This window comes from Homo sapiens, chromosome 9 (genome assembly GCF_000001405.40).
Source record: "Homo sapiens chromosome 9, GRCh38.p14 Primary Assembly".
NCBI classification, from domain to species: Eukaryota; Metazoa; Chordata; class Mammalia; order Primates; family Hominidae; genus Homo; species Homo sapiens.
In genome coordinates, this window is record NC_000009.12 from 4,493,739 (window position 1) to 4,518,503 (window position 24,765).

At 42.4% G+C, this 24,765-nt stretch overlaps 1 protein-coding gene across 7 annotated transcripts in view, besides 2 other annotated features; it reads left to right on the plus strand.

Moving 5' to 3' along the window:
- The window catches only part of SLC1A1 (solute carrier family 1 member 1), a 97,002-nt gene that overhangs the window by 3,271 nt on the left and 68,966 nt on the right, over positions 1 to 24,765 (plus strand). Inside the window, exons 1-2 of one of the 7 annotated variants that reach the window (XM_011518008.4) lie at positions 22,496 to 22,572; positions 23,643 to 23,900. The exons of 5 other annotated variants lie outside the window; for them this stretch is intronic. In XM_011518008.4, coding sequence (XP_011516310.1) covers positions 23,870 to 23,900 — 31 coding nt within the window. In that variant the 5' untranslated portion in view covers positions 22,496 to 22,572; positions 23,643 to 23,869. Of the gene's footprint in view, positions 1 to 22,495; positions 22,573 to 22,664; positions 23,901 to 24,765 lie in introns of those variants that run through there. One more of the 7 variants, XM_011518009.4, reaches the window with a different exon arrangement.
- Positions 13,017 to 13,076: an enhancer, noted in NCBI's record as "active region_28147". NCBI's record gives its function as "activates an Ori minimal core promoter by ATAC-STARR-seq in GM12878 lymphoblastoid cells {active_cell/tissue: GM12878}" and the evidence as "EXISTENCE:reporter gene assay evidence [ECO:0000049][PMID:35858748]".
- Positions 20,913 to 21,853: an enhancer, noted in NCBI's record as "OCT4-NANOG-H3K4me1 hESC enhancer chr9:4514651-4515591 (GRCh37/hg19 assembly coordinates)". NCBI's record gives its function as "activates a minimal SCP1, AML or CMV promoter by ChIP-STARR-seq in naive and primed H9 embryonic stem cells {active_cell/tissue: H9 hESC(naive and primed)}" and the evidence as "EXISTENCE:reporter gene assay evidence [ECO:0000049][PMID:30033119]".

Here is a 24,765-nt window from a genome sequence, read left to right on the forward strand (position 1 = left end):
AATTTAAAGAAATAATAATGCAATGAAATGTTCAGTCACTACTATAATTCAGTAGCCCTAATACTTTGAAATATTTGATTATAGAAATAAGAGGCAAAGATTTTTATGAGCCAGCTTAAAGCCTGATTTTTCAAGATACAGCACATGAGGGGAAATGTAATAAGGGTCATCTTTATTAGGTGTGGAAGTTCACTCTTTTCATGGACAAGGAAATGCTAAGAACTAAACATTTCTCAAATTCTTGTTCACAAGATGAAGGGATTCAATAGTTAGGTGACCATCTTTTTAAATTTCTGCGACACCCTACATGGTCCTGAAAATAGTATCTTGGATTTTCACAGGAAAATCCTCTGCTAAAATACCACTAGAAACACTTTCACGGCTTTCATTACAATTCTTATAGGCTTATTCTCTGCTTCCATAGAATGGTAGAATGAGCACAGAGCCTGGAGTGAAGAGTCCTTGGGATTTGAATTCTGGTACTATCAAGCTCTATCATGCAGGCAAACTGTGTATTTCCCTACAAGCCTCAATTTCCTCATCTGGAAATTGGAGATATTACTTATTACTTCGTTTGTTATTAGAGGTGTGAAAGATACTCAGTTGTGTGGCTGGCATATATTCAGCACTCAATAGTTGTTATTTTAAGGTAAATCTGAATAATTTGATTATGAGAAAATTAATATTTTCTTATGAAATAAATTCTCTCATAGTATGTCTCTTTCTGTGTCCTGCTTAGTGTCCCGCCTATAATTTAGGGTGACTCAAGTGTTTTGATGACCTGCTCTGTCTGAGCTAATAACTGTCCCTGTAGTATTATTCATTTCTTTAAAGAGGAAATGGAAAGAATGAATCATTTATTTTTGTGCCCCACCGGCTAATCCTCAATTCATTTAAATATAATATTTAAATATATAATTTATATAAATATAATTTAAGTATGTAAATTCTGAAGGAAGGTTTTATGCTCTAAGTGGGAATTCTGTCCAAGCAGAATTACTGAGTGAGAATTCTGCCAGCCTTCTAATGCGGGTCATCCAATAATGATTATATAGTATATGATGTTGTTAAGGCACTTCTTATATCCTCACCCTATTCACAATATAATACCTAATCTTTCTCTCCAGACCAGTTATGCCATTACTTCTGTCATTTGAAAAATCTGTGATTTCAACTTAGAGCTATTCAGAAAAAGCAATAGGTATTGGCATTTACATGACAGAGCTGGCAAGCTTATTCATTCTAAATTGTTTTCTTTGGAGCGCTAAGGAAGCAATCATGCATAGATTCTGATTCCATTATCTAAAATCAGAAACAGCTCCTTCATGGTCTTAGCAATACCCTTGCCCAGCCTCGTGTCTCTACCCTGGAGCTCATGTAGCGTGCATCTGGCAGTGCTAATTTGAGACGTGGCATAGGCTTTCCCGCTTTGTCTGTGAAGCCCCTGAGGACAGGGCCCAGCGGCGGTTCACGCTGGTTCCAGGCCCAGCCCCTCACCTGCATAGAACCTTGGCTCAGCAGTGTTTAGGAATATCCCTGTAATAATCAACACTTAAGCCATTCATTCATTTAACAGATATGTATCAGACCCCCACTGTGCACCAGGGATTGTTCTACAGCCGGGTCACACAGCATGTCCTCATGGGACTTAATGTTCAAGTAGAGAGAGGTAGACCATAAATAGAATACATAGGTAACCTACTGTATAGAGCATGTTAGATGAGAATAGTGTTCTGGAGTAGTATAGAGCAGGGAGTGGGCTGGCAAGGTGGGGGGTTGCAATTTTAAACAGGGTGACAGGGGAGGCCATACTGAGAAGGTGACAGTTGAATCAAGACGGAGGAGAGGTGAAGGAACAAGTTGCACAGGTATCTGGGGAGCATCCTAGTTTGTGTGAGAAACATCAAGGAGTAGAATGAGGGAGGGAAAGAGTAGGAGGAGATGAAGTGGAGGTGAGGCTGGGGGCAGAGCAATAGGGTGGTTCAGGTCCAAGGTCCAGGAAAGGGGAAATGGGTGCCTCAGCTGAGCAGCCAGGAGTGGAACAGAATGAAAAGACAGCTGCTTGAGGTTAACCTGCAGGGCTTGGCTGGATTTGGTCCAAGGGAGAAGGCAGTGGCTATCTCCAGCAAAACAGAGAGTCCTGGAAGGGGCACCGACTTGGAAAAGAACATGGCATGTTCCACGGTGGACGTGTTGAGTTTGAGGAGCCAGAAGGGTGTTTGGGTAAAGGTAGGCAGCAAACACCTGGCTAAGTGAGTCTGGTGCTCAGGAGACAAATGTGGAGTGGAGTGTCGACTTAAGACAGCATGTCAGGGACCTGGTTAAGGCTTTGGGAATGAATGAACCTATCCTGGGAGAAAAGGGAGAAGAGAAGACCAAAGACAGAGTTCTGGACAACCCCAACATTGGAGGTCTGGGAAGAGAAGGGGCCCACAGGAGAAACCGGACGTGGTGTGATAGAAATTAAGAACAGGAACAGTGATGGGTGAGAGGCTCGGGGGCAGGAGTGAGAGGGTCTGAGGAGGAAGTTCAACAGCGTTGGGGATACAAAGGACAGGGATGTGACCTTCTGGGCTTTTATTTGGAGGCACTTAGGTGTGAAAGAATTCAGAGAAAGTGGAAGTCACGTTTAAGATCCAGAGAGTATTTTTCTTTCTTTTTTTAAGAGACAGGGTCTCGTTTTGTTGCCCAGGCTGGTCTTGAATGCCTGGCTTCAAGCTGTCCTCCTGCCTCAGCCTCCCAAAGTGCTAGGATTACAAGTGCAAGCCACTGCACTCAGCCTTGTTTTGTTTTGTTTTTGTTTGTTTTTTGTTTTTTAAGGAGACTTGAGTCTGACTGAACCTGAAGAGAAGTGATCATTAAAAATAAAAATGCAGCTGAGCATGGTGACTCATGTCTGTAATCCCAGCACTTTGGGAGGTGAAGGTGGGAGGACTGCTTGAGGCTAGGAGTTCAAGACCAGCCTGGGCAACACAGCAGGACCCCTGTCTCTGCAAAATAAAAATTAAATTAGCCAGGCACGATGGTGCGTGCCTGTGGCCCCAACTACTCAAGAGGCTGATGTGGGAAGATCACATGAGGCCAGGAGTTCCAGGCTGCAGGGAGCTTGATCACATCATTGTACACTCCAGCTGAGGTGACAGTGCAAGATCCTGTCTCTGAAAAATAATAATAATAAATGCAGAAGAGAGAGAAAATAATGAATGCTGTTGGGTGGAGTGAGGCCTGGGACAGTAGAAGACAGTGTGAAATGGAGGGACCTAGTTGGGGATTGGCCAGAGAACGGGACTTTATACTCCTGAGATGGAAGGGAGGAGTTAAGGGTGAAGCATTGTATTCCTTTCCTGTGGCTGCCCTAACAAATTACCACAAACCGGGTGGTTTTAAAAAACAGAAATTTTTTTTTGAGACTTAGGTGTATCCATTACTCTGTGCCAAGAACTGTTCTGAGTGCTATATAGGTATTAAATGATTTAATCTTTCCATCAAGCATATTTTCAGGAAACAGAGGCACAGAGAATTAAGAAACTTGCCCAAGGTCGAGGGCAGAGCCGGGATTCAAACCCTGGAAGTCTGGCTCTAGAGCCTCTGCTTCTAACCACTATCCTCTCCCGCTGCTGTGTGATATTATTACCCTATATTCTGATGTTTCTGCCTCCCTCACCAATTCAGGAACCCTAAGGGAAGGACGTTTGTGTTGCTCTTCTCTGTGCCCATAGTACCTATCACATTGCACAGTAGGGTGAATACATTTGTTGAATTGCTGAGCCATTTATGACCCAGAGAGTTAGTAAAATGTTGTCCTTGTTTGTCAAGGGAACAAATGAGCCTAAAGCTTAAATCAAACTCTATTACCTCCATAAATTCTCCTCTGCCTGTTTCAGCCCCCTCTGATCTATGTCAGCAACATAGATTAACACTTGATGAATCTATATAAATATCAAGCATGTTGATCTTTTCTTTCTCAAAACTAGATTACAGACCCCTTGAGGTCCCTCTTATTACATTTCACAGGCACTAAAAAATAAAATGAGGCCATAAAGTAATGAGACTGACTCTTAACTGTTTTTTTAATTTTTAAAAAAGTATATCTGATACCTATACTCTCTGAGTCTTTGTTTCTTATTAACAAGAAAGGGACTTAGATTAGCTGGGAGAGCAAAGAAGATTCTATTCATGCATCTATTACCACTTATAGGTAGTGGACTATCTGGTATGATCTTTATTGAAAAAGAGTTGAAAACAAAAGTCTGAAATTGATTACTGCTGTCTGGCACTGGCTTAGGATCAGGAACTAGTGGTATGCGTGCTGAGTAATTGTTGACTTGGGTTATAAAACCTCTGAGAGTCCTTCTAGCTTTAAGAACCTTTAGCTTTATGACTGTATATTCATTCCTCAGTTCATTGCTGGGAGCCAGAGGAACTCTTCTGTAAGGAGCTAAGGGGGTTCAAAGGGCATTACAAGATGATAAAATGACCTAGACATTGAGTCAACTGTTCTGTGTTTGAACTGCTGATCAGTGACATAGGGATAATCATGTAAATTGTATATGGGGCTATTACCATGGTAATATGTTCTATGTCAGTATTATTAGATGGTTTATTACAACAGTAATAGAAGGTCTAATATATGTATGTTTTTGGACTTTATATGTCTCTAATTTAAAATATTTGCAAAGTACACAATACTCCAAAAACACTAAATAAAATAATAGTTTCTTCAAAATGACAGGAATAGCCTAGTTCCTATATCCTCAAAACCAGTGATTTCCACAACAATAATCAGTTTGACATAGGGAAAACAAAAAAAAGCATAGTTATTCATATATAATGGGGACTTTTGCTTTCAATGAGGAATATAGCTTTATGTTTATGTATTTCTGAAAAGTGATGAAAACAGACAAGGTTGCTAGTTTAGTCATATATATTTAATTTGTATTAATATATTTATTCCATAGCATGCCACAGACATGACAATATTAGCAAAATAATGAGCACTACTAATTAGTTTCCATAATATTTTCTAGAAATTTGGGAGTTGCTAGTGAGTTAAGTTCATCTGCAAAAAAATATATATATATGTGTGTGTGTGTGTATATATATGATATTGCTTATACTTTCTCTAAAATACTGAGAGATATGTGGTCTCTGTCTCTGTATATATTACATGTATACATACATATACATATGTATGTATTATATACATAATATATACATATATATTATATATGTATATATAATCTTATATATTATATATAAGATTATATATTATATATATATAAGATTACATATTATATATGTATATATATATCTTTTTTTTTTTTGAGAACAAGTCTCACTCTGTCACCTAGGCTGGAGTGCAGTGGCACGATCTTGGCTCACTGCAACCCCTGCCTCCCAGGTTCAAGCGATTCTTCTGCCTTAGCCTCCCGAGTAGCTGGGATTACAGGTGCCCACCACCACACCCAGCGAATTTTTGTATTTTTAGTAGAGACAAAGTTTCACCATGTTGGCCAGGCTGGTCTCGAACTCCTGACCTCAGGTGATCCACCCACGTTGGCCTCCCAAAGTGCTGGGATTACAGGCATGAGTCACGGGGCCCAGCCATATATTATGTATCTCCATCTATCTTATCTCCTTAGTTAAGTACCTTAGAGAAGAGATCCTTCTGGCCTCGCCAAAGTTCTACATATTAAAGAATTAGGAAAAGAAACTGGGCTTTGAATGCTTATGCCTGGTGTTTTCATTTTTGCAACTAAATCAGAATCAGATTTGAAGCATCACTGAAATGATTCTGATTTTTGGTTGTTCTATGCAAGGTATATATGACTCAAGTCTATCAAAACTCCAACAAAATGATCTAAACACAAAATTATAAAATGAATCTTTAAAATGATTTTACATATTAGACTCTGCACATGCAGGTTGGTATATACAATCTTAATGCCTCCTATGAGGAAGACTGAATATAAATTGCTAGTGGTTGGCAAATATTGAATATCTTGTTAGATGTTGCTTAATTTAAGATACGGTGTTTTATTTAGTACAGTAAAACTACAAAATTGAAGTTGCTCACCTGTTAAAAATTTGAGCACTGGGCATAAGAAATAAAGAAAGCTTCAAATGAAAACACGCTGTGTAGAAAATTTTTGTGTGCAAATTCAGGATGTGGTGGAGCTCAGGTGGGTAAAGCCTGGGTTATGTCAGACAAGGTAGGATTAGGAATCAGTTGTTAGAGAGCATGTATGCATGTGAGAGCACTTGCTTATAAAGAGAGAAAGCTTTCCACATTAATTGCTTGTGAGAAATTGTGATTACCTTTAACAGAGCCGAGACTGAAAATAACTGTCCTAGGGAGTCCGTGACACACTGGCCTGGTGCCAGGGAAGCTGTGTTCGCCTGAGGTATTGCAAATTTCCCGTGTCGCTGGAGATTTGGGGTCACAGATGCTGTGACAACTCAAGCACTCTCGAAGAAAATGAACTCATTTTAGATGACATTGAGTGGCCCGTTTAAACTCCCCATAGCAGTGTCTATTAAAGTAGAAAGTGTTTTAAATGGCCTTTTCTATTTTGTTTGTTTTATTTTGAGACAGAGTCTCACTCTGTCACCCAGGCTGGAGTGCAGTAGTGCGATCTCGGCTACTGCAACCTCCACCTCCCAGGTTCAAACAATTCTCCTGCCTCAGCCTCCCGGGTAGCTGGCAGTACAGGTGCCTGCCACCACAACTGGCTAATATTTTCTATATGTTTAGTAGAGACGGGGTTTCACCATGCTGGCCAAGCTGCTCTCGAACTGTTAACTGCAGGTAGTCTGCCCGCCTCGGCCTCCCAAAGTGCTGGGATTACAGGTGTGAGCCACTGCACTGCGCCCAAGAAACTGATTTAGAAAGAGTTAATACATTATACTTGCTGAGGAACAGCCCCAAACTGCAACAAAGAGTACTCTGTTGTAATTAGTACAGCCCACAGTAACACCTCTGTTAATAGAAAGGAAGTGTTTCAGTGACTCACTCTTTTTCAGAAATTTTACTACTTTACTTTGAAAATTATCTGCTGACTGCCTGTTCCGTTACCAAAGGTAGAATATTTCCTTTCCAATAAATAGTCCTATACTTTCTGGGATGGACAGATCTCATCCCAGCTCACAGATGCTTCATGTTCCTCTCCCAGGCCCAGCCTCGGCTATGTGAGCTCCGGGCAGCGGTTCCCACTCAGCCAAGACAGGGAGGGATACAGTGCCCTGTTCTCTACCACTAATCCCCAGACCCAGCCCTGAGAAGATAAGACGTCCCACCAGTCCTGCACTCATGCTGAGGTCACCACTCCCGAGCCCTTTCTTAGTCTCAGAGTCCCTAACCGTGTCCAACACAGGACAATTGTCACAGCAGATCTCCGCATGTCTAGGAAGGCTCTTGATAGTAGAAAGTGTTTTAAATGGCCTTTTCTATTTTGTTTTGTTTTGAGACAGAGTCTCACTCCGTCACCCAGGCTGGAGTGTAGTAGTGTGATCTCGGCAACTGCAACCTCCACCTCCCAGGTTCAAACAATTTTCCTGCTATCATCATGTGACTCTCTGCTTGGTCTGCATGTTGAAGCAATAGCAGACTTTGGGACTGGAACTTGGCTTCGGAAACACCCTCAGAGAGGGTCCACATGGCCACATGGTGTGTTTATTCTTATAATCTCTCTGAGACAACTATTTGGGTATAACACTTCCAGATGTAGTTAAAACTACAGCACTTTGGCCAGGTACGGTGCTCACGCCTGTAATCCCAGAACTTTGGGAGGCCGAGGTGGGCAGATCACCTGAGGTCAGGAGTTCAAGACCAGCCTGACCAACATGGAGAAACCCCATCTCTACTAAAAATACAAAATTAGCCAGGTATGGTGGTGCATGCCTGTAATCCCAGCTACTGGGGAGGCTGAGGCAGGAGAATTGCTTGAACCCTGGAGGCAGAGGTCGCAGTGAGCCGAGATCACGCCATTGCACTCCAGCCTGGGCAATGAGAGCTAAACTCCATCTCCAAAACAAAACAAAACAAAACAAAACAAAGAAAACTACAGCACTTACTCAACCAAGGGGGAAATCCTTATAGGAGAGAGCTTAGGTGAGAATGTACAATTATTTTTCTACCATTGTTCTATTGCTTAAGAGTTACCTCGTTACTAATAATTCAGTAAGGAATTAAGTCAACATAAAAAAATGCACCATCACCAGAAATGCCTAAACTACAGAGAGCCTAATCTCTGAGCCTCTCCCCATTACTGGAAAATAAACTGATACTGTTCAACTTCTGTGGGTATCTCAAAGACTTGTTTTCTGAGCCACTTAGCAGGTTTCATTTAAGATTTCCCCAAATTATGGGCCAGGCACAGTGGCTCACATCTGTAATTCTAGCACTTTGGGAGGCCAAGGCATACAGATGGCTTGAGCCCAGGAGTCCAAGACCAGCCTGGGCAACATGGTGACACCTCATCTCTACAAATAATACAAAAATTAACCAGGTGTGGTGGGTCACGCCTGTAGTCCCAGCTACTCAGGGGGCTGAGGTGAGAGGATCACTTGAGCCCGGGAGGTTGAGTCTGCAGTGAGCCAAGATCACACCACAGCACTCCTGCCCGGGTGATAGAATGAGACCCTGTCTCCAGAAAAAAAAAAAAAAAAAAAAAAAAAGATTCCCTGAAGTATGAGACATTGAGAGAGAAAGTGAGAGTGACATATTTTCTCCCTTGAAAAGTTCTCTTTGGCTAACCAACCCTAATATCAATATTTATTGAGAATTTACCACGAGTTTTATGTACATTTATCTCCCATTTGACCCTCAGTACAATGAGTTAGGGGGTTCCCATTTTACCAGATGAGGAAACTGAAATTTACAAGGCTTAGGTCATGTAGCTGAGCACACAGAGCTAGGATTAGCACCCAGGACTGTCTGATTCCAAAGCTTAGGTTACTAATTATTAATCATTAAGCAAGTCTTCTTCCTTCCTAGTAAACCTTGATACACCTACACCTAATTGGTAGTTAGAACCATACTTGGAGACAGGCTTCTTTCTTGCAAAGTGGCCAAATAAAGCCTATTCTCCTCCTTCTTGCTTCATCCTTTCTCAGTCTTGTAGCTCATCTTTATTGCGTGTGGTTAGTCCTTTCCGCTACGCTTCTCCTACATAAACCTTCTGTTTGAGCTTGAATTCTAGTGAAACTCATCTAGTTGCTTTCCCAGAACTGTTGTACTTTCATGCCCTAATCCTTTTGCTCAAATGTTTCACTCACTGTTATCCTGCCTATCCTTGAAGATGGATTTAATTACCACTTTTATGTTGTAGACTTCTCTGACTGCAGTTGGAGATAATCTCCCTTCTCTACATTCTTAACCCTTGATTTATATGCATAAATTATCACCATTAGCACCACCATTCCCACGTCTGTTCTGTGGCAGACATCACTGATTACAGTACTCTTCACTACTGAGCTCTGTCATGGCCTCAGAATCCTCGAAACTTTGCTCCAGGCAACCACTGTTAATCAAACAGAATTGGTGCCTAAGATGAAAAGTATTGTTTGTTGCTGGGAAAAGTTTATTCATTTGGCAATCAATTAGGAACTGAATTTAAATTGAGCAAGTACTGATGTTACTGATAAGAGAAGCAGAGTCAAAGTCTGTATTTTGTCCTCTCAGTCCATTGGTGGCAATACATCCACAATCACTAACATGATCCTGAGTGTGGTAAATGCTGCAAGGAGGCTGCAGCATGCTGTGGGCCTTCAAAGAAGGTGCAACTGGGAAAGTTCCTGGAGGAGGCCATAATTGGAATGGCCTTGAGCAGGTGTGGTAGGATTTCTGGGCTTGAAGACTGGAACGAGCAAGTCTGTATAAAGGTGATGATACACATAAGGAGGGCTTATCATCTCTTAGGTTCAATTTCAGTATTACATGGAACTATAATTTAATATATGTGTTGCTGTGCTTTCGCACTTTTTCTTACCTGTTTCCTAAGGACAAGAATGCAATACTACACAGGTCTGTCACATCATAGCATCCAGCATTGTACTTACTTCACAGGAGGTGCCCCCAGATATATCTGACTGATTACAACCTTCTTCACTGAAGAATTAAAACAGGTAAATCTTTGATGAACCAATCCCATTGATCCCCTAGAAGCCCACTCAGTTGTATGAGTTTTTGAGTGAAGACCATGAGGAACTCTTATGCTAGCCTAAGTCATCCCAAACATACTTAACTCCTGGAATGGGGACCCCAGAAGAAGAGCAAGTCTGGTTGCTAACAGTTTTGAAGCCATTTTATTGTGAGCACTGCATGACCCTGAAGCTCCCAGACTGGAGAGCATCTCTGTACCCTAAGGAAGATCTGATCTTCTCAAGAAACCAGCACCAGAACCCACCTGATCTCCAGATAATTCTCTGGGCTAATTAGAGAAAATGGAAGATCCATCTCTTTTTCCATAATTGGGCTACAGCTTGGCACTGAATCAACCCTGGATGGTAGAGCCTTTTCAGCTACGGTATTTAGCAACTCTTACACCATTCATTGAATTTATTTCTGGATTTTCCCCCTCCAAGTGTCCTTTCACATCCTTATCCAAATTCTGCCCACTTCTCTCCCTGTCTGGAGATTATTTCTATGATAAGAAATTAATTAGCCTGTCTGTACTACCTGTTCCAGGAGACTTTGAACAACTGCGTGGGTAAACACTAGATGTGGTCACCAAAGAGTCGGAAAATAAGTTTTTACTTTTTCATTAGCAAAAGTTAATTGTCAACCAGGAGATGTAACAGGCTTGCTCCATTTCTGCTGCCGCTTCTTGGATTTCTTTCTTGCATGTGGAGAATTTCCTGAGGTTTCACCAGACTGAAGAGATTCTGAGTTCTTGAAGTGATGGAGATAAAGATCTTGTTGTCATAAAACAGCAAAGAGCACTGTGATTGGGTTTGAAAGATTTTTGATTGTGTTATGGACAGTGCTCTTACTGGTTTTTAAAAAGTTGATGTTTTCTTCTGTGTAAATTTAAATAATTTCTTTAAAGGCAGTAAGCTTTTATATTTAATATACCTTTCACTGTGCAATCACAACAGGAAGATTTTCTAAATTAGACATCTTTACCTTGAAGAAGAAACTTGTCTGTTTCAGTGTCTTTTTGTAGCAAGATTGACCAAAACAAGTGGTAAATAAGTCTGTAATATTTAACTGTCATGAAATACCTTTGCTAATAAGGAAATGGCCTCGGTTTGGATTAGGTGGAGTTTCGTGTGTGCGATGTGGGGGTGTATGTGTACATATATTTCTTTTTTTTTTTTTTTTTTTGAGATACAGCCTCACTATGTCGCCCAGGCTGGAGTGCAGCGGCATGATCTTGGCTCACTGCAACCTCCGCCTCCCAGGTTCAAGCGATTCTCCTGCCTCAGCCTCCCAAGTAGCTGGGATTACAGATGTGCAACACCATGCCTAGCTAATTTTTTTGTATTTTTAATAAAGATGGGGTTTCACCATGTTGGCCAGGCTGGTCTTGAACTTCTGACCTCAGGTGATCCACCTGCCTTGGCCTCCCAAAGAGCTGGGATTACAGGGGTGAGCCACCGCACCCGGCCCATATTTCCTTTTTTTATACTGGATAGCAATATAGGGTCTTGTCTTTCACCTTTTAAGTTCACAGAACAGTTTGTCCTGACCACACATAAGTTACCAGTATAATGTTTTATGAAGGTTTAGAAATGAGCTCCCAGAAAAATAATATTTTAATATCTACAAATAAATAATCTGAGGATGTTTCTCAATTCAGCATCAATGCTGGGTTGTGCCTTGTGGATTTCCATTGGCTCTACGTGCAAAAGATTAAGTTAGTTAGAATGAGGAAGACATTTTTAATTACTGTGAAATTCTTTGTTGTTGTTGTTGTTGTTTTTCTTTTTGTTTTGGGAAGGTGTCTCACACTGTTACCCAGGCTGGAGGGCAGTGGCATGATCTTGGCTCACTTCAACCTTCACCTCCTGGGTTCAAGCAATTCTGCTGCCTCAGCCTCCCGAGTAGCTGGGATTATAGGCATGTGCCACCACGCCCAGCTAATTTTTGTACTTTTAGTTTTTGGGATGGAGAGTCTCTGTCACCCAGAATGGAGTGCAGTGGCACCAACTCAGCTCACTGCAACCTCCGCCTTCCGAGTTCAAGCGATTCTCCTGCCTCAGCTTCCCAAGTAGCTGGGATTACAGGTGCCCACCACCACGCCTGGCTAATTTTTGTATGTTTTTAGTAGAGAGGGGGTTTCACCATGTTGGCCAGGCTGGTCTTGAACTCCTGACCTCAAGTGATCCACTCACCTCTGCCTCCCAAATTGCTGGGATTACAGGCTCCTGCCGTCTGACTTAATTTTTGTACTTTTAGTAGAGACGGGGTTTCGCCATGTTAGCCAGGCTGGTCTAGAACTCATGACCTTAAGTGATCCACCTGCCTCAGCCTCCCAAAGTGCTGGGATTACAGGCATGAGCCATCATGCCCGGCCAAATTACTATGAAATTCTATCCTGCCAGTGCTTTAGAATAACTTGCATTTTAAAGTACATTTGCACATTTTACATATAATGCTATATGGTTGTGTTTGGGCTTTGTGTACAGATGACTTTTGTTATTAAGTGGAAAAGGCCTGAAATATGCTGTTCTATGTTAAGTAAATTGATATAACCTAAGAAAAGATCTTGTTGCCAATTCAGAAACCATAACCTTAAATAGCATGCCTGGGTCTCCTCTGTATCTGGTTTAACATCTGCATTGAATATTGGTATTTTCCAATAATCTCCAACTAGCTTATTTATTTTGAAAAAAAAAAATAGAAATCTACGTCTACTTTTGCTTAAGTGGAAATACTTGAGTAATGCTTGGTTGCTTTTTTAACCTCAAGTCAGTAACTGTGAAAGACTGGACTTACTGCACCTAAGATCTAGAACCCTGAAGTTATCTAATTGGTGCTCATCACTGAGCTTGTGTAGGCTTCCTGAAGCCTATTCAGGGCCCTGTGTACTAGGGAAAAGGGTTGGCAGATCACAGTGTGTGGAGTATGCAGCCAGTAATTCTTTCTTAGATTCTCTCTCCCCTCTTAGAACCTCCCCTCATTTCCCAGGGAACATCTGTTTTCCATGAGGGCAGTACTAAGGGGGCTGAAGATTCCCACAGACATATAATAAAAGGTTCCAAGAGTAGGCTGGCGGCAGTGGCTCACGCCTGTAATCCCAGCACTTCGGGAGGCCGAGGTGTGTGAATCACTAGGTCAGGAAATGGAGACCATCCTGGATAACATGGTGAAACCCCCTCTCTATTAAAAATACAAAAAAAAATTAGCTGAGCGTGGTGGTGGGCACCTGTAGTCCCAGCCACTTGGGAGGTTGAGGCAGGAGAATGGCGTGAACCCGGGAGGTGGACCTTGCAAGTGAGCCAAAGTGGCGCCACTGCACTCCAGCCTGGGTGACACAGCAAGACTCTGTCTCAAAAAAGAAAAAAAAAAATAGATTCCAAGAGTAAACAAAATCCTCAAGTGTTACTGTGCAAAGATTATACTCACCATGTTTGATTTTTTTGGTCTCTGGTGGTCATCCCAGATGCATTCACAGTCATTTCTGGACCTTTAATGTAATCCACTGTTGTTATTAAATGAGCTGATCCACATGGAGTTACTTTTTGAAATCATGAAGTTCCTTATGAATGTTTGTTATTGTGTCTTAAATTCTTTAAATTCTTAAAATATGTCTTAACTCACTTAAAGATAAAAGTAAATGTTTCTGTGGTCCTTCTGGGAGTGGGGAAAGTTACAACTCCACAAATGTTAAGAGAGAAGGGTGAACAGTTAGCAGTCAGGCAGCATGGTTGGGAGTCATGAGGAAGAGCATTCAAGATGACACAAGTTTTGTAAGCAGACCTAAGGAACGGGCTGAAGAATGTTGTGGAGACCCAGGTACTTCGACTTAGCATTCTGAGTTCAGAGTTCGCCCAGGAGTTCCAGGCTTGTGGCAGGTTTAGAAAATCCAGGATGATCGGCCACCTTCTTTCTCCCAGAGGTCGATCTGATCTTAAGTTGTACCTGACTAAAACCTGCTGCAGGAGAGATGGTCAGATTTTATTTACACACAGGGAGATGGCTTCCTAAGATTGTGTAGTGAACCAAGAAGGTGTTTACAGGCATGTGAAACTGGCTATTGTAAAGAGGCAGTGATCTGGGACACGTGATGTTAGTTAAAGTGGAGGAAAAGGTGTACCCTTCAAGCAGAGGATTCCAGGGCCTCTCCAAACCGTACAAGTCTGAGCCAAGGGACAGAAATTCCATCAGTGGCTTGGAAGCCAAATATTTGCCCTGATACTGAGGAAGGGAAAGAGTGGAACGTGACCGTGGGATAGATAAAGGGTCTTCACAGGAATGCAAACAAGATGATAGGTAGAATCACCCATGAGATTAGCAAACAAATCACTTTAAGAGGAAAAAAGTAGAATAAAGAGAGTCAACCACAGGTAGAAAATGCAAGACTTTGGAATCCACAAGTCATAGATATGTATCTCGGGAAATAATCCAAGCACACATGCATGGTACTGATACACCTGTGGGAGAGTGAGAGTCTGGTTGTCCCGAGACTGATAGATTCACCCACCTGCTGGGCTCTAAGCCAGTTGGATATTTGCTCGAGAGACTAGATTCCTGTGGGCTGGTCCTAACTTTCCCAACTAAGCTCACCCTCACTTGAGCCCAAAGGACTCCTAAGACTCCATCCCCAGGAGGCATCCCCAGGTGAGGAGCTGGGCACTTGAATTGTCATGTGTACAGCACCATAGCCATTGTAAAAGGAGAACATCTCACAAGTCAGGAGTTACTGGAGAGACTGTTTATGACACACTTCTGGGTTCGATGGCCCTGAGACAATAAATTCATCCACATTCCTGTGGCCCAGTTTTCATGCTTTGCTCATGACATCCTCCCTCAGTGATTTTCTCCTGCCTTTCATAATCAGGTTTGATGAGCAAAGGTTAGAAAGTGCAGTGGCTTCCTGGGCATGTGCATTAAATAGCAATTAAAATGCAGTCCTGGTTCGGCTCAATGCAGCAGGTGTCAATCAAACACCTACAGTGTGTCAAGCTTGATGCCGGGGCGGTGGGGTACAGGAATGAGCAGACAAATGCTTCTGCCTTGGGAGCTTGAGATGAAAGGGAAGGAGAGCACGAATTAGACCTGTTTGAGGGGGTAATAGAAATTCAGATAAAACTGAGTAGGGTCCAGAGGAGAGATTCTTTCCACCTGAGAAGACAGCCTAGGAAAGGCTTTCTGGAGGAGGTGGCTTTTTAACTAGGCTTTAAGGGGTGGGTAGGAGTTTATTAGGCAGAGATAGTGGCAAAGGGCTTTCAAGGGAGGGCGATCTGTGTGAACAAGAGTGTGAAAGCAAAAAAGCATGTAAACAAAAAAGCATGGAGCATCTTTAAGAAATAGCAAGGAGTTTGCTGTGACTGGATCTGCTGGGATTGGGGGGTGAGAAGGACATGCAGGCCTGTATTGGTTAGGGACCTGGCAGGAAGCAGACTCAAAAGAGTTTCACTGAGCAGAATTGAATCAAGGGACTATTTATAGAGTTCAGCAGGGTAAAAGGAATCAGCAAGGGATGGTGAGGCACCCAGGGATGAATAACTGGGAAGCTATTAGCTCATCTAGGCCTGAACAGACAAGAGAGGGTGATGGGGTTTCCACAGTACAGTGAGGGCTGAGTTGTGGCAGGGAACCAAAAGGCAGGGCCTATGTGGCTGCAGAAGAACAGGGGAAGGGAGGGCGGGAGAAAATAAAAAAAAAAACCCAACCTCTGTCTCTTTCTACCATTAAGATCTACAGCTACTGCCTCTCATTTGCTAAACCCAGCCAAAACCAGAGGCAAGGAACCCTGGATCAGCCCTCCCAGTGCACAGAGCAGGACAAAGAAAGACAGAGGGTGAATCGGAGGGCAAATGGAGAGTGACTAGCACAGAGCCATATGGCATGAGGTGCCATGCTGAAAGGTTTTCTCGGGACATCAAGAAGTGTTGAAAAGATACAAAGTCTAGGAATGATGGCAGGGAAATTATTATTTATTTACTGAGATGGAATCTTGCTCTGTCCCCCAGGCTGGAGTGCAGTGGTATGATCTCAGCTCACTGCAACCTCTGCCTCCCAGGTTCAAGCAATTCTCTTGCCTCGGCCTTCCAAGTAGCTGGGATTACAGGCATGTGCCACCATGCCTGGCTAATTTTTTCATTTTTAGTAGAAATGGGGTTTTGCTGTGTTGGCCAGGCTGGTTTCAAACTCCTGACCTCAAGTGATCCGCCCACCTTGGCCTCCCAAAGTGCTGGGATTACAGGCATGAGCCACTACGCCCAGTCTATTTTGATAACATCTGGTGATACTGGTGGCTGTTGCTTAAGGGCATTATGGGAAATGAGAGGTAAGAATGGCTTCCACAGCCTCTAGCTATATACCAGCAGGACCATCTCCTGCTGTTCACACAAGCCTAGCCCTAGGCCTCTACATCTAGAAAGCATTGCCCGTGCATCTACCAGCCTTTCTTCCATGCAAGGAGGGCAAATGTGGCTGGCGGAGAAGGCACCTAGAATACCAGTGGCAGCTTCTCTGTCTCCCCACTATAATTTAGGACTCTTCTAATTGTAAGCAACAGAAAATCCAGTTCAAACAGGCTTAATCCAGAAAGGTGTAAGGAGGCGGGGGTGACATATAAAATTTATGGCTCAGATACCATAAGAGTCTAGAAACAGTACCTGGCTTCCAGTACAGGGGTTTAATATCATCTGGACCTGTTGTCTCCTTACATACAGTCTCTTTACACCTGTGTCATTTTCACTCCCAAGCAAGACTCTTCCCTGGTGTTGATACAGCTGCCAGCACAGGTCAAGGTTTCTTTTTCCCAGTTCCACACCCAGCAGGAGAGATAAAGTTTCTGATCCCTATTAGTTCAAACAAGACTCCATGGCCTTAGCCTTAGGCTAACTCAGCCCTGAGTCAGAGCTCCATTCCTCAATATAGTCTTGGGACCAAAGGAACATGGTGATCTGATTGGCTAGACCAGGGTCCCTCCCTCATCCTACCATGTTCCCCCAAGCTTCTGGACTACTTAGGGCTTCAGCTCCACCGTAAACAAATTGAGAGTTAGAAGGTATGCTGTTCACTGCAGGGACAAGGGATACTGTCCCTTAGCAAGAGCAACAGACCTGCCTTTTATCTGTTATGTTCTTGAGCTATTTCCTGAAAGCAATCAATACAACACTCATAAGTTAAATTTTATTGAATTCATAGTTACAAAAGCCAGGAAGTCGTTTAGTTATTAACCACATGGTTTGAAATTGATGGAATTGAGACAGAAATCACTTTAAAAACTGAGAGAGGGTGTCATAGTCTGTTCTGGCTGCTGTAACAACATCCCACAGACTACGTAGCTTATAAACAACAGACATTTATTTCTTATAGTTCTGGAGGCCAGGATGTCCAAGATCAAGGTGCCATTAGATTCCGTGTCTGCTGAGGGCCCACCTCCTGGCTCATGAATGATGCCTTCTAGCTGTTTCCTCACACAGTGGAAGTGGCAAGGCAGCTCTCTGGGACTCTTTCAAAAAGGCACTAATCCCATTCAGGAGGGCTCTCCCCTCACGACCTAATCACCTCTCAAGGGCCCCACCTTCTAACACCATCACATTGATGATTAGGTTTCAAAATATGAATTTGAAGGAGGACATACACATTCATACCATAGCAGAGGAGAAGAAAAATTAAGCATGTTTTGCCTTAAACTCTTAAGAATTCTACACACACACACACACACACACACACACACACACTACACTACACTACAGCTTATATTTAATGCTGAAAGTCTGAATGCTTTCCCCCTAAGAGCAGGAATAAGGCAAAGGTGTCCATTCTCACCATTTCTTTTGAATATCTCACTGGAAACCTGGGCCAGTGCAACAGGGCAAGAAAAAGAAATAAAAGGCATTTTGAAAAGAAAGAAACAAAACTGTCCCTATTCACAGATGGCATGATTTTCTACACAGGAAATCCCAAGAAATTACAAAATAAATTTTAAGACTAATAAGTGATTTTAGCAGGGCTGCAAGATACAAGGTTAACACACAAAAATCACTTGTTATTTCTATATGTTAACAATGTACAACTGAAAATGGAAATTTAAATACATTGTGTGACATAGCTCCAAAAGGTAAGGATTAGGTATGTAACAAAATATATATAGGATCTATACTCTGACAATTATAAAACACTGATGAAAGAAATCAATGAATGCCAAAGTAAATGGAGAGACATAAGTTGTTCATGGATTGGATGACTCAACATAGTAATGATGTCAGTTCTCCCATAATTGATGTATAGATTTAATGCAATTCTGATCTAAATCCCAGCAGGGATTTTTGTAGATATACCAGACAAGCTGATTCTAAAATTCATATGGAGGCAGGGTGCGGTGGCTCACACCTGTAATCCCAGCACTTTGGGAGGCTGAGGTGGGCAGATTGCTTGAGCTCAGGAATTGAACACCATCTTGGGCAACGTGGCAAAACTCTACAAAAAAATACAAAACTTAGCCAGGCATGGTGGCATGCGCCTGTAGTCCCAGCTACTTGGTAGGCTGAGGTGGGAGGATTGCTTGAGCCCGGGAGATTGAAGCTGCAGCGAGCCATGATCACGCCACTGCACTCAAGCCTGGGTGACAGAGTGAGATCCTGTCTCCAAAAAAAACAAACAACAAATAAAACTCATATGGAAAGATAAAGGCATTAGAAGAGCTAAAATAATTATGAAAAAGAAGAAAGTTGGAGGAATCATCCTATCTTATTTCAATATGGTTTTCAAGATATCAAGTGTAATATTGGTGAAAAGGTAGACATGGCAAAAACTGCAATTACTTTTGCACCAACCTAATAGATGAATGAAGCAGAACAGAGATTCCAGAAATAGACCCATAGAAATATGCCCAGTTGGTCTTTTTTATTTTTTTTTAAATTGAGACAGGGTCTCACTCTGTCTCCCAGGTTGGAGTGCAGCAGCATGATTGTAGCTCATTGCAGCCTTGAACTCCTGGGCTCAAGAAGTCCTCCTGCTTCAGACTCTCAAAGTGCTGAGATTGCAGGTGTGAGCCACTGTACCTGGCCCTCCAATTGATTTTTGACAAAGGTGCAAAAGCTATTCAAAGAGCAAAGGATAGTCTTTCCAACAAATGGTATTGGAACAACTAGACATCATATGCAGAAAAAAAAATGAACCTCAACCTAAAATCACATTACATTCAAAAATTAACTCCAAAAGGAAAAGAGTAAGATATAAGACTTTTAGAAGAAAACATAGGGGTAAAATCTACATGAGCTGGAGTTAGGCAAAGAGATCTAGATGCCAAAGCACAATTCATAAAAGAAAAAAATTGGTAAGTTGGACTTTAACAAATAAATCTCTTTCTCTCCAAAAGGCACTTAAGAGAATGAACAAACAAGCTACAGACTGGGAGAAAAGAATTGCAGATCATATATCCAACTTGTCTAAATTTGTATCCAGAATATATAGAGAAACTCTCAAAACTAAGTAATAAGAAAACAAATGATCAAACTTTAAAAATAGGCAAAACCTGAACAGACACTTCACCGAAGAGGGTATACTGATGGCAAATAAACACATGAAAAAATATTCAGCATCGTTGGCCGTTAGGGAAAAGTGAATTAAAACCACAATAAGATGCCAGTAAATACCTATTAGAGTGGCTAAAAAAAAATACAACACCAAGTGCTGATGAGGATGTGGAGCAACTGGTACTATTAAACACTGCTGATATGGGAATATAAAATGGTACAGCCACTCTAAAAAACAATTTGGCACTTTCTTATCACCTTAAATACAGCTTTATGATATGGCACAGCAGTCCCACTCCTGTGTATAGGTCCTAGAGAAAGGAAAACATGTTCACACAAAAATCTGTATGTGAGTGTTTATAGCAGCACTCTGCATAATCAATCAAAATGGGAGACGAGTCAAATATTCTTCAATAAGTAAATAAACTACTGTCTATCCATAAAACGTGATCTATTCAGCAAGAGAAAGGAACATACCATTGATACGTACAAAACTCAGATGAATCTTAGAGGCATTATAGTCAGTGAAAAAACCAGTCTCACAACTTACATAGAATATGATTCCATCTGCATGATAGCCTCAAAAAGACAAAACCATAGTGGTGGAAAACAGACTAGTGGTTGCTAGAGGTTAGGAATGGAGAAAGGTGTGACTAGAAAGATACAGCATGAGAGAGCTCTTTGGCGTGATGGAGCTGTTCTATATTCTAATTTTGATGGTGGCTATAAGAATTTTAACATGTTAACCATAGAACTGTACACTAAAATAGTCAATTTTATTGTATGATCAACACATGTACACACACATACAAACATGCCCTTAAGAGTCAGTTGGTGCATACATGTCCAGCATTTGCAAGAGAGGGTCTGTGTTTACTGGTGGGGAATTCCTGTTTTCTACTGAGTTCTCATCCCTGAAAAGAGCAAAACCTTGAGTGGCCTGATGCTGCCGTAATTCCCATTGAGGATATCTGACCTAATTGTTTTGGGTATTGTTGGGCATGGAAGGTTCACTAACATCTTAAGATAACATTCACACGGCCAGCCAGAGCCTCCCTGGTTATCTGGCTTGGGGACGCACATGTCACATGGATCTTGGAGGAGGTTGGGAAGGCTTTCCAAATACACTTGGGCTGAGTTTTGAAGTCACTGAAATGGTAATCAGATAAATGAGAGAGCAGAGGGAGCAATAAATAAAGGCTCAAAGACATGAGCGCAGGGCAGAACTGACACAGTGGGCATGGTTGGGGTTGGGGCTGGGGCTAGGGTGGGTCAGAGAGCTTGCATGCCACCCTATGTTAGGGGACCACTGAAGGGGCTTTAAGCTGGAGAGTGACTCCGCCAGATTTGCATCCTGGAAAGATAGCTCTGACTTAGTTTGCAGAATGAACTGGCAGAGACAAGATTGTATGCAGAAAGAGTTTTAGGAAGTTGATGAAGTAGCCTTGGTGAGAAATGCAGCGGACCTGAACCAAGACAGTGTCAGAGGCCATCACTCACTTTACATTACATTACATTACTTTACATTACAGTGTAAAGGCCATCACTCACTTGTCTTCTGACTGGGCTGGCAGGATTCAAGCAGCCGGGGCTCCTGTATCCCTTTTCTCGCTGACTCTCTCTCTCCTCTTCTCTTTCTCTCTCTCTCTCCCCCAACCCCCACCCCCACTATACTCCCTCTTGCTCTGGTTTTCCCATGTTGCCTCTCCAGCATGGCAGCTTCAAGGCAGCTGGACTTCTTACATGATGCTTCAGGGCTTCAAAGTGAGTGTCCCAAGAAGAAAACTAATCAGATGCTGGCCTCTTCTAACCTATCTCAGATTTCACATAGCCTCACTACTGCTGCATTTTGTCTATCAAGGTGATCACGAAGGCCAACCCAGCTTCAAGAGACAGGGACAGAGCCTCCATTTTCTGATGGGAAGAGTATCAGATATTCTATAGGCCTATTTTTAAAGTACCAGGGGACCCAGAATGAAAAGTCTGAGGTTTTCTGAAGGGAGGATAGATACGTTTATTTTTCCTTTGTTGGGTCTCATGTGCAGGTATCCAGGTAGAGTCCCAGCAGGTAATTGTATATTGAGTTTGTCACTGGGGAAACAGCATGAGGCAACAGATAGAGATGGAAATGGAAGCTATAAAAACAGATGGGATCCCTGTGGGAGAGTGTGCTGCCCAAGAAGAGGGTGGAAGACAAACCCTTGATGAACATCAACAATGTCAAAGGTGGAGAGATGAGAACTTATCCAGCTGGCTGAGTTCCTCTAGACATCCAACTGGTTTTCACTCCTAGAGTACTGCAGTCTGAGACTTCTCTGGGATTCAGTATTCTCTTGGTAAAAGAGTCATCTTTCCAGCAGGACTGAACCCTTGCTTGCCCAGATCAAGGGTCCTCTTCCACCTCTCACAGCTGGCTGCTGAGTCAGAACCTCCTACCTTCCTCCCAAGGCCAGGCTGTGTTGTGGAGCCTTCTGTCCTGTGTGTTTCCAGTATGGGACAAGGCACTAGATCCTCCACCCTCTTCCCAGTTAGCTATGTTCCCTGGAGTAAAAGAGTCTTTGAACAAGTTGTTAGGAAAGTTTCTCCTCTTCAACCACTTCAAAATGTCCTTTTGAGTGTAAGCCACATCCAAATAATTAGTCTTCAGTTCCAGATCCTGTTAGAGAGCCACACTGGTACAGGAGCTTTCCTGATTCCTCTTTTGTGAGTTGCCATAAAGAAAGAGGAAATGACCTATAATCTATGAAAGAGCCAGGTTCTAAAACAGATCATTCTGACTTCAGAGCTCAGCCCTTCACCCTAGGCATCCCTCCAAGAGACACCAGCATGAACTTACCCAGAACGGGCCTGAACATTTGAACAACTGAACACAATACACCCCAGCTGGCTCCTGGCAGATTGCACTCCAGTGTGGTGAGTTTAATTTGAGCAAGCAGTTGAAATAAAACAGGGCTGGCTGTGGGGATGTGGCAGAGCCAGAATGGCTTCTCTTGATCTTTTTTTTCTCTCTGGGAAACAAGATGAATTAATGAACTGATTCATACTCCCTTTTACCCAAAGTCTGAAATAAACCACCCTTATCATCTCATCAAACCTTTACCCGACCCAAACTATGGATCTGGGATTCTTACTCTTCTCTTGCCTTCAATCTATCCCACTCCTGATGAAGTTCCTTCCCAACTTCCAATCCCATGGGCTTCACTTTCCTGCCTATAAACAGCTGTCAACTGCCTGATTTCCCTATGCTAATCCATTCTACACATTTTAACCAGGCTTTTCTCCAATCTAGGCTGGCTTTTACACAAACATGTTCAATGGCTATTCATTATCCTTAAAAACTAATCTTTGTATATTATAGTTTAACACACGGTTTATCTCATTTTATCCTCACAATGAACCCATTATATGGAAGGGAACTTAGGGTCAGAGAAGTATAAATTCTCCTCCCTGGCATTCAAGGGCTTTCATGGTGTGCCCCAAGTGATTTCCTAGTCTTGGTTTTCTAAACCACCCCTCAAGCACCAGCCAAACTACTGACTGAACACACTCTTATCACCTCTTTATGGAAGAAACAGAACTTTGGTGTCCAACAGAACTGGATATCGAAGCTGGCCATGTGACTTTGGACAAGTTTCCTAACCTGTGTTACATTATTATCTTTATCTGTAAATAACAGGCTTTTTAGATCAGATGATTAAATAAAATAACGTATTATAAAAGTGTTTGGGCCTTAGGCACCTGACACGTTAATTTCTTCTTCCCCTGCCCCTCTGTCTTTAGGTGTTCTCTCCACTCTCCACCGTCCTCAATAGTCCCCGCCTAGTGAATTCCTTCTCACTCTCACATCCAAGGTTCATCTAAAATTCTTTCTTAATCTCACCTAGTGTGAATTTCAAGGGTAGCTCTGAACTCCTACAACTTTGGGGTGGCCGTTCCTATAGACTAGCTTGTTCTCTTGTCTTCTGTCTTGTCCTGCCTACTAGAATACAATTTCTCAGTGGCAGGAGCAGCGTCCTCTCTTTGACCTCACAACATAGCACCTCTGTGGTGCTGGCACGAAGAAGTCATCCAGAAAACATTTGTAAGATTGACTCAAGACCACGGGAGGCTTCTTGTGTTCCACGTGCTGATTTCCTGATTGCTGTGATATTTGCTTTCGGCTGAACACTGGTCACCTTCCCTCTTCTGTTATTGTGTACCAGAATGAAAGATGACAGCCAGGAGGAAGTTTGCTTGCAGAGGTATGTGGGCTGAGCTCACAAAATTTAACAATTGTTTTTAGCTTTTGTTCACATTTTAAAAATTGGGTGGTCTCACACAAAGACCTAGATTTTTAGTTTCTCTTTAAAAATTCAGGAGAAAAGGCCACCATGGACCCTCACTTTCATGTGATGGGGCTTGGGCAGAGACATCAAGACCACCACAGACCCATGGGCCTGCTTCCCTCACTTCTGCCCTGATCCCTGTAGCCTTGTACGTTTGCAGTCTTTGATGTCAACTGAAAATTGTTGAAATGTATTTCAACCCTATCTTTAAGAATGAAGTTGTAGCCGAGCACGGTGGCTCACGCCTGTAATCCCAGCACTTTGGGAGGCTGAGACAGGTGGATCACTTGAGGTCAGGAGTTCAAGACCAGCCTGGCCAACATGGGGAAACTCCATCTCTACTAAAAATAAATAATAAAAAAACTTAGCCAAGCATGGTGGTGGGTGCCTGTAATCCCAGCTACTCAGGAGGCTGAGGCAGGAGAATTGCTGAACCTGGGAGGCAGAGGTTGCAGTGAGCCGAGATCTCACCATTGCACTCCAGCCTAGGTGAAAGAGCGATATTCCACCTCAAAAAAAAAAAAAAAAAAAAAAAAAGAATGAAGTCCTTACTTTTTTTTTGATTTTAGGACAGATGACCAAGGAGGTGTTACTTCCTTGAGTGGTGAAAAGGTTCTTCTACTGCATGGGGTTTTTTGTGGTTTTGTTTTTTTTTTGTTTTTGAGATAAGGTCTCACTCTGTCACCCAGGCTGGAGTGCAGTGGCATGATCTCAGCTCACTGAAGCCTCAGCAGCCTGAGCTCAAGCGATCATCCCACTTTAGCTTCCCTAATAGCTGGGA